At 34.2% G+C, this 10,879-nt stretch overlaps 1 long non-coding RNA gene across 1 annotated transcript; it reads right to left on the bottom strand.

Annotated features, from left to right (window-relative positions):
- Nucleotides 1-765: 765 nt before the first annotated feature.
- Nucleotides 766-6,040, bottom strand: LOC105369453 (uncharacterized). Its single transcript, XR_947942.2, has 4 exons — nt 5,957-6,040; nt 4,606-4,743; nt 4,326-4,391; nt 766-843 (listed from the first exon to the last, which is right to left on the bottom strand). It is a non-coding gene; the product is annotated as an uncharacterized LOC105369453 (long non-coding RNA).
- Between the last annotated feature and the right edge of the window lie 4,839 nt (nt 6,041-10,879).

Below are 10,879 nucleotides of genomic sequence, written 5' to 3'. Positions count from 1 at the left end.
TGTACAATCATGATTTAATTCTAATTTCAAGTCCCCTCATTGTTGAAGTCAGGATAGTAATAACAGTACACTCACCATAGACTTATCTTAAAAATTAAATGAGTAGACATATATGAAATGACTTTGGCTAAACCTTATACATACATGTGTTCATTAAATGGAATACAACAAAACAAATAAGCAACCAAAGTTGGGGAAAAAGACGAATAATTGAGAAGAGCTAGCTTTGCTGTAGTGTGGTTAGAGACAGCCAGATTGTCATGTGTTAACTAAAATTTTCATGAATCCGCCTTGGCCACTTTCTTCTCCTTCCTCACTTCCTCACCTTCCCTCTTCTTTCTCCCATTCTTCCTCCCTCCTGAGCTTAGGCGCACACACACACACACACACACACACACACACACACACACACACACAATAAAGTATACTACAAAGGATTTTTTAAAATGTAATGAAGAACATATAAGGGAGTTGTAATTCATCTTAGTAGGATTTTTTATTGTCAATATTTTTCAAATCCTATGGGTATATTTATTTAAAAATACAGCTCTGTAAGTGCTCTCAGCTGGTTTGAAGTGGTCCTAAGCTACAATGCTTTCACTTTCTTTTGTCCAAGTTTTCTTCTTATAGAGTCCCAGTGATTATATAGCTAGTTGGGCAACATATCTGGTATGTGATCAATACGTTTAAAAATACATCAGTGTAAGCAAAAGAGTTCATGTGCATAGAACCTATTAGGATTTTGAAACATTTTTGAAGCTATAGTAAGCATTGGAAACATCTGTCCCCATCTTTCATGTAGATAAAAAGGTGAAGTTTTCAAAGGCAGAATTTGATCTAAATCTGCAACAAAGAAAAAAAAACAGTTGGGAAATATAAGAGGTTATTTCAATCTGTTAGGGAGCTAAATTCACTTATAAGCAGAAAACATGTTTAAATTGCAAATATGTCCAAAATTAATGAGAATGCACTTACAAATAACCACATTTTAGGACATCAAAGCTAAGATTAATAGTTTATAAAGACTTGAGTCAGAATGTTCCATCTTATGAATAAATGAGTAGATGAAATTATCCCGATCTAAGGAAGTCTGTCACACTCAGCCAAGTCTAATAAATAAGTACATGGAAAAATCAAGAAAGAATGATTAGATACTGACCCAGAAAAGAACTGAATCCTCTAACTCTTTGCCTTATTTGTACAAAGGAGTTGGGTATCTTTTATTTTCATATGTACTTTTTAAGAACACTGTGATTTTATACTCAATTTAAAGAAAATGGTGATTAAAGAGTAATAGAAACAATTTTGCCATCTACCAGTTGGTCTTTTAGCTTTCAAAAAGTTCAGTGTGTCTTAGAGTCAGGTATGGAGTCCAATATTATGTCATCGTTTTTACTGAATGTAAATAGAATATTTTGTAAACTGTTTCCTTATTGTAAACTATGTGGGGGCTCTATACTCTTAAGATCCTAAATGATCCTGTAATATAATTTTATATTATAAAAATGTCCTAATTCTTTAAAACTAAACAGTATAAAATGTTGAATTAGATTAGATTATGTTAAATTCTAGTGCCATGCTCTAATATTTTGCTATAATTTCCTTCAGTTTTCTGTGTCCTCTCTTTGTAAATTCTTCAAGCAGTTGATTCACTGGGCTCTTCTTGAAATATGGTGCCTTACTTGATTACTATATGGAGATTTGTTGAACAAACAATTTTTGCTCCCTGCCACTGTGCTTCTAAAATTGAATTTTTGCCATTCTCTCACTTCAAGGGGAACACAACTTCCTATGGGTTTGCATTTTAAAATGTAAACAAAGGAAGCAATAAACAAAGTCCTCTTATTTTTAACCTTTTTTTTCTCCTTCCTTATGCAGTTCTTTATTGAAAAATGCAGATTCATTCCCATGTCCTCTGTGGTAATATTCATTGTAGAAATCATTACGGATGTGAGGGCTCTCCCTTAATTAAGAACTAAAAGGCTTCATTTCCTAAAACAAAAGCATGTGGCGGGGTTTATTGATCTGGCCTATGTCGCCAGCTGAACACATTAGCAGAGGTTATTGATTACTCTAGTGGTAATGAGCTTGGGTTCCTTGTCAGGTGAAGTCCACATTCCTTGGGAGCATTTTCTTGAAACTGGCTAACATGGAAGTACATGTTCACTATGATATATGATGCAGTAGACTTTTAAAGCTTTATTGCCAATGAATCATTCTTTAAAAATATAACAGCAGTCATTTAAAAGGTTATTTTCCAGTCATTATCTTTTTTATAATTTCTTCTGAATGCTAATGATACACTTCTGAATAGATGCTAAGCCAAAACAAGAGAAGCATTAAAGAAATGTAATCACATATGGCTCTTATTGCTTTTAATAAGTTTTCAAATAACCATCATCATTATCTTCTGATGACCAAGCTGAGTAACTTAACTAGTTCTGCTTTATCATTATCAGTAGTCATGATTTCTATCCAGTGTTTTAATAATAGCTGACAAAAACAGTTTTGAGAAGTGGTGACCAATAGGAAATTGTAATCCAGGCAGTAAAGAAAAAGACTCAAGTTTGCAGCATTTTTTAAGAAAAATGGCAGTAACTTCCTCATTAGGGGAACTATCTTAGAGAAGTATTTCTAAAATATACTTTGTCCCATCATTTCTCTTAGGGTAGAAGATCCAGTGTACCACTTACTAATTCATTCTAGTGGAACACTGCCAAATGGGAAGGGTGAGGCAATAAAGTGATTTGGTCTCCTTTTGATGGGACAACAAAAAGTTGACATTTGAGCTTCTAGGTTTATTATAAATATACAAGTGTTCAGCCAAAAGAAATGGAATAATATTAAAAATCACTTTTAGGAATGCATTTGGAAAATCATTAGACTATTTGATTTTTAAATATGCTATTTTTCACTATAGATAAACTAAAAATAAACCTGAGGGGAAATGTTCCATTCTGCTTAATGGAAGGAAGTGATCCTCATGAAAATAATATGAAATAGCTCAAAACAACCAATTAGAAAACTAAGATATGTTATTAGGAACATGGAATTTGTATGTTGATATTGGAATTTGGAATTACAATGGAAAAGATCATTGTATTTCAAACCTTCAATCTTTCATAGTCTGCTCAGAAGGTTCTGTTCAGCACCGAATATGTTACGAGGCCCTCTGGACCCATGATCAGACAAAGAAAACATCTACATTTCCCCTATGACCATTTCTGTTTCACCTGATTGAAGGAACATAATTATTTATAAAATTTGTGGATCAATTAAATCCCCAATCCCTGCCAGCCTACCAAAATATTATCCACAATGCAGAGATAGCCTGTGTTGCTCTATGTCTGCCAGACCTGACAGTATGTGTGCCCCTAATGTAATGAAATATAAACTTAATGCAGATGCCAACACAATGTGGAAAGAAATATGTTATTTCTTCGAGTTCAACTTTGAAGGTAGAGACAATTGATATTTGGAAATACAGAATCAGCTGCAGATTTCTGAAGTCAAGTTTATCAGCAGAGTAACAGAATTTTGGTATAAAGTTCTAATTCAGATTTTTAAAAAATATTCCCTTTGAAAGTGTGCTTATTTGGCTTGTTTTATATTTATTAAATTATCATGCCAATTGACTAGCTTTGGCTTAGTGTTTGTTAGGTGGTATCAGTAAAAGCAGCTTGCCTTCTATGAGAAATGGGGCCACCTCATGCCAAAAGCATTATACTCTTTAGCAATGGCAAGCGTGGCAGGTTTGTACTTCACACAAATTCTTCTTTTCTAATAACATAATTTTTAATGGAGATGGATCAATTATTGACAATAAAAAGGTAAAACTTTAAAACTAATTTAATGAAGGTTAATATTTTCTTAAAAGCATGACTCACTTTTGAGAGAAAGAAAAGCAAAGTTGTGGTAATTTTTGCTATTTATAAAACCATGGCATAAATATTGCTATACTGTTGGCCCTTGAACAACAGGAGATGGGGCACCAACTCCCTGAGCAGTTGAAAATCCATAGATAATTTTTGACTCTTCCAAAGCTTAACTGCTAATAGCAGCAGTTGCCCAGAAGCCTTACCAATAACATAGACAGCCAACTAACAGATATTTTATATGCTTTATGTATTATATGCTGTATTCTTAACCCCAAAGCTTAACTACTAATAGCAGCAGTTGACCAGAAGCCTTACCAATAACATAAACTATCAACTAACAGATATTTTTTATGCTATATGTATTATATGGTGTATTCTTACAAAAATTTAAGCTACAGAAAAGAAAATGTTATTAAGGAAATCATAAGGAAGAGAAAATATATTTACCATTCACTAAGTGGAAGTAGAGCCATCATAAATATTTTCATCTTCATCATCTTCATGGTGAATAGGCTGAGAAGGAGGAAAAAGAGGAGGAGTTGGTTTTGTTGTCTCATGGGTGGCAGAGGCAGAAAAGAAATCCACGTATAATTGTACCTGCACGGTTCAGACTCATGTTGTTCAAAAGTCAACTCTATTATCATTGTAGACCAAGTAAAAACCAATAATACTGTGTATCATCATGATGATTAATTTTAGGTATCAAGTTGAATGGATTAAGAAATACCTGGAAATCTGGTAAAACATTATTTTTTAGTATGTCTGTGAGGATGATTCCAGAGGTGATTTGCATGTGAATCTTAGTGAACTGAGGGTGGAAGATCTGCCCTCCATATGGGTGGGCACCAACCAATCTTCTTGGGGCCTGGAGAAAAGAAAAATGAGAAAAGGTGATTATGTCAATCTATCTGCTGGAGCTGGCCACAGTCTTCCTCTCCTGTCCTTGGACACCCACTCTAGGCTCCCTAGCATTTGGACTTCAGGACCTGACCCCTTGGGTTCTCAGGCCTTCAGCCTCAGACTTAGAGTTAGAACATCAGCTTTTCTGGTTCTGAGGCTTTTGTATTTAGACTGAGCCACACTACCAGCATACCAGGGTCACCAGCTTGCAGATGACCTGTCGTGAGACTTCTCAGCCTCTGTAATCAAGACAGCCAATTCCCCTAATAAATTCAGTCTCATCTCTCTCTATCTTTCTGCTCTCCCCTCTCTCTATATATACGTACCTATTGGTTGTATATATAGTATACAGTATATAGTATCCTATATAGAGTATCCTATTGGTTGTCTCTCTGGAGAAACCTGACTTACACAATTATTTATCTCTCCTCAACAATGAGCAAAGCTTGTTTGGGATGTTAAAAAACGTTTTGATGTCTGCATATGAATAGCTGATTCAGGGAAAAAGTACAAATACAATTAAAGTATTTTAAAATAAAGCCTAGGAGGAAAATCTGAATTAACTGCTGTTATTTATAGTTACGTAAATAACTATATATATATAACTACAATATATTGTAGTTAACAATATATGTATATATAACTACAATATATGTATCATATACATATATAATATATGTTTAATATATGTATGATATAAATATAATATATAGTTAACTATAATATATTATAGTTCTATAACTACAACTTATAATAATTATTATATATAATTATATAATATATATTCATATATATAAATAACTGTATGCTATATATATAACTACATGTAGTTATATATACAGTTATTTGTATAACTATAAATAACAGTAGGATGGCATCTGAGATTTGATCAATCCATTGTAATCTCTAAAAAAAATCATATAGTGTCAAATAAAGGATATTTGTTCACCAGCAGGGATAGAACAAATTAGCCATCAGTTTGCTTCTCCAGGACATACAGAATAATGTATAAATTTCTTACCAGAAAATCTCAGTGCCTCCACAGTCCTGTTCTACTATCTGTTCCAAGTTTGTCCATTTGCAGTCACACACACACACACACACACACACACACACACACACACACACTAGTACAATAGCAGAGGAGTCATATTTTTTCTTCTCCAAACATGCTTTACCTTACTGCAGTTCTGTTTATCCTGTTCTCTTCTTGGAATGTTTACTATCCCAACTCTGTTTGTCCAAATTGGCCCAAATCCAAGAATACAAACTTGACCTATGGAATAAAAATGGAGCTTTAGATACTGTGCTATTCTCACTAGTCTTTTTGTATCTTACCACTTTATATCTTGTATTATAATTTACACACAGCATCTGTCACCTTTTCAAGCCTGAATATTGTGCCAATACAGGTTTTGAATTTTATACATCTTTATGTCCTCCTTAAGCATCTGGAACAATTCCCTGCATGATAGAAAACGCATACTTTGAATTGAATAAAATTGAGATGATACCTTGGAATGCTCTTTCTATCCAAATATACTGCCACTTTTACACTACGAAGGTTTATTTTACTTTGTCTTATAATATTAGGGGAGTTAAATGTTAAGAGTTCTTTCATCCAATATAGCCCAGAGTTTGTGCTGTCATACTTTCTAACATACACAGTTTAGGAGTAGCTGCAATATACTATACTGCTCCCCGTACCCCTGCCTTTTTTTTTTTAACTATTCAATTTCTGAGATTTTCTTCTTTGTTATCAAATCCTACACTGCTTCTTCTTGACACCACCATCTTATTCCATCTTCAGTGTGGCTTTTCAATAAACACCAGGAAGATCTAGTTTCAAATCCTGCTTTTAAAAACTTAAATGTTCTGTATTACTTTATAAGTTTTCTGCCAAATATCAGTCTTTTTATCGGCCTCATATGTTTTCTGTGAGCATTAAATAAATAATGCATGTAAAGCATCTAGTAGATTGCCTGATACATAGCAATACTTGATAATTATGTTTTTAAAATTAATAATAATTGTCATGACATTAGACTTCTCTTCAAATCAGTATTTGGAAACGAACCTAGGCATATAAAGCATTGCAAATTTAAGCCACATTAGTCATACAACTGTAAGGCAGCTTAAACTCTGTTGCTATAAAAATAATAATTTCTGCCAAGGTAGTAATGTGACAAAATGAGATAGTGGGCAAATAATTCTTTCAAAATTCAAGAAATCATCTTAATTATGACCTGTTACAATGGAATCAGCCACTCATTTTAGCCGTAAAAGTTTAGAGAACCATGACTTTTACATCCAGAAGTAATTATTTTATTTTATTTATTTTAAAGATGAGAGAATTAAGAATAAATGAGGTGAGGTTGAAAATGGTATGAGCTTGGAACATGATTAACATGAACTCACATTTTTGTTCTTCTCTACTAATGGTCATCTCCCCCACTAAGCCTGTTTCCTTATCTTTAAATGGATTTAACAGTGCCCATTTTATAGAAATGTTAGCCAAAAAAGGGATTATATTAAAAAGACTACTTCTGTGCATGAACTTACTCAACAGATGTTAATAGCCTCCCTGTCTCTCAAATACACACACAACACACACACACACACACACACACACACACACACACAGAGATTGATAATGAATTGTTCAATGCCCACAGCAGAACTGTCTCTTCTTCTTTGTCTGTAAGGACTAGTCAAATTGCTAGTATTTAAACAATATATTTAATAGCGTCTAATGCATAAATAGATTTAAAAAAACAAAACTTTAATTTCTTTCAAGTTATATGAGATTTTTACAGAGTAGTCTCAACCAATTCAATACTCTGGAAAACAGTTATAGTGTATAACATAAAATTGTGTTTTTACATCAGTTGAAACAAAGAAAACAGTACAGATTATCTAATGACACATTTTCTAGTCACTGTGTTCTACTTACCTGTTATACCTTCTTCTTATATTCAGCCATTAGTATCTCTTTCCATATAATTCCATACTTATTTGAATTCTATTTACTTTGCCATGCCAATCAATTTTTATGTCATAATTTAGTTAATTCTAAACTTCTCAAACTTCTTATGAAATTCAATAGTTTCATGATGGCATTTCTATTAATAATGGCTCATTATCTCAAGAGTACTAATGACAGAATTTTATATAAGCTTCTTCAGCCTGCAGCAGATAACAAAGCTATAATAATATCTGACTAAGAGGGTAATGCAGTCTTCTGTCCATTCGTGTAGAAGTCTACTCTGAGAACTCCAGGTTACACAGAAGAGCTGGTTTCCTCCTCTACTACATGAACATTCCTGAACAGGCCTGTTGTAGATAACAGATAGATAAGAGAATGAGGAGCCTGCATACTGTTTAGGCAGCCACAGTACGAAGAGAAGAAAGTGATTTCTGTATTTATAATGATTCTTTCTTCTTTCCTTATACAAAATATATTGCAAGGTAAACATTTTAAATTCCATCAATAGCACTCTTTAGTTATGACATTCTTCATGACCATTTTGCAGACCACTACTGTTTCCTAATTTAAAAAATAAATATGGATACGGAGTTTTAAAAATTTATGAAGGGGAATTTTAAGTTATCCAATTATAATGACTACTGACGGAGAGACACGATAAATTAACCAAACAGATGCTTGTTTGAATTTTAATGTCAAGAAATAATTCAGGGAGTAAAAAAAGTGTCTTTTTTTGATATTACTTTTTTTTTTGAGATGGAGTCTTGCCTGTTGCCCAGGCTGTAGTGCAGTGGCGTGATCTTGGCTCACTGCAACCTCCGCCTCCCAGGTTCAAGGACTGTCCTGCCTCAGCCTCCCGAGTAGCTGGGATTACAGGCACATGCTACTACGCCCAGCTAATTTTTTTGTATTTTTAGTACAGGTGGGGTTTCTCCATGTTGGCCAGGCTGGTCTTGAACTCCTGACCTCAGGTGATCCACCTGCCTCAGCCTCCCAAAGTGCTGGGATTAACTGCGTGAGCTACCGCTCCCGGCCTTGATATTACTTTTGAAGGGGTAATACAGTAATAGCACAGATGACTTTTCTCTTTAAAAGCGTATGTGTTGACTTATCTTACATAGGAGTATAGCTATAGTCTTCATTGGGTGTTCCATTTAATATTCTTATATACTGAGGAAATTCTCATTTAACTAAAATAATTCATCAGACTTTAATATATGTCATACAATAAATTATATATTTCCATGTTCATATAAAGAAATGTTAGTAATAAAAATTTATGAGCTGCAATAATATGGATTAATCTTAGCAACATGATAATCAGGGTAAAATACCACCGAATATTTGCATATATTGTTATATCTTTTAAACAAAAAAAATTTAATAAAGCTTGCAGATAAAGTAAAATTATATATATAAAATTTATATTTACAATAAAACAAGAGAATGATGAAAGCAGAATTTAGGATGATGGCTACATTGAAGAAAGTCAGAGGAATGGGTTGGTAAGAGGCACTGCAGTGTTAGACATAGGCTATTATTGATCCTATCTTTTAAGGTGTGTTCTGCAGTTTAGGTGCCGCCAATCCTCAAAGCTAAAATGATTTAATACCAAAGTACACAATATAGTAATAGATTATAACCTGAAGCAGAAAATAAATCTATACAAATCTAAATAAACAGTTGAATAATTAATAAATGAGAGAGTAGAGATATATCCCTTGTACACACAAAATTTAAATAATTTATGTAGCTACTACTCCCTATGTTGGTGAAGCTTAACTTTTGCCCCTTCCCTTGCATGTGGAATGTGCATAGTGGTTTGCCTCCAAATTGTAGAAAATGAAAGAGGGAGGAGGGGAAGAAGTAACTCTACAATGTGGAAATCTGTTAAGTACTACTTCAGTCAGGCAATCAAGGTTAGTATCTTCAGTACAAAGTCATTTTAATAATATGGATCCTTGATATAATGGGATGAAAATCACACTTCTGTGGTCCTCTCAAAAAACAATGGGTGAGAACTTCTGCTTTCAAAATGGCAGCATAGAAGAAAGCTGGCTTCCCTCTGCCCCTTGCCTTCCGCTACCAGGAAAACCAAAAATCAAATATATAATTCCAAGATTATCACCAGAAATATCCCAGAACTCAAATATGAAGATGAGACAGTTTCTGGGGTCACAGAAAAGTAAAAAATCTCTGAGATGATGGTAAGAGAATGGGACTTAAACATCCATGAAAACCCTTCCTCCATTCTCTCCAGCACCAAGCATGTGGAAAATTTTCCCCCAGCTCACTGTGTCTGCACCGGAAAGAATGAGAAGAAAGTGGACAACCACCATCTTTTCCACCATCTTGGGTTCCCTGGCAGGCGACCTGTCCCTTCCTTAAACAATGGGAAGCATTACAAGTGCCTGAAGGAAGAAATATTTCTGAGGAGAGGCAGGGACAAAGGGAGAGGTCAAAGTTCTATTCCTAGCCCTAGAAACTCTGCTATGTAAAATGGCAAAATCAGAGTGTCTGTCCAGCATCACTACACTGTAGGAGGTTCATCCCACAGGTTCTCTAGGCATGAACCCCTAACTAGCTTTCCCATACTTCCAAGATACTCTCTTTGTGACTTCCTCTATTTTGGAAGATAAGTGCCCTGAATGGTTACTAGAGCCAATGTGAAAATTGGCTTAAGGCACCAACTAGAGCCAAAAAGAAGGCAACGACCTAGTGGTAAAGAATCTCTAAGCTAATACAACCAATAAAACACCAAAACAAACCAAAGAAGACTGAAATAAATAACTAGTCCTTCAATACAAAGACATAGACATACACCCATAAGGAACAATGGCAAACAGAGAATCATTATCTCCCCAAATGGACAAAGCAAGGAACCAGTAACTGACACTGAGACAGTGATTTGTGAGCCCTATGACCAAGAATTCAAAGGAAGTTCAGTAATTTCCAAGATAACATAGAACAGCAGTTCAGCAATTTATCAGCGAAATTTAACAAAGAGATTGAAATAATTTGAAAAAAAATCAAACAGAAATCTTGGAATTGAGGAATCGATTGCTGAACAGAAAAATATTTTAGAAGTTCTTAACAGCAGAATGAGTCAAGCAGA

This window comes from Homo sapiens, chromosome 11 (assembly GCF_000001405.40).
Source record: "Homo sapiens chromosome 11, GRCh38.p14 Primary Assembly".
Lineage (NCBI taxonomy): Eukaryota > Metazoa > Chordata > Mammalia > Primates > Hominidae > Homo > Homo sapiens.
The sequence above is the reverse complement of the archived record's forward strand: the minus strand, read 5'-3'. Positions and strand labels throughout refer to the sequence as shown.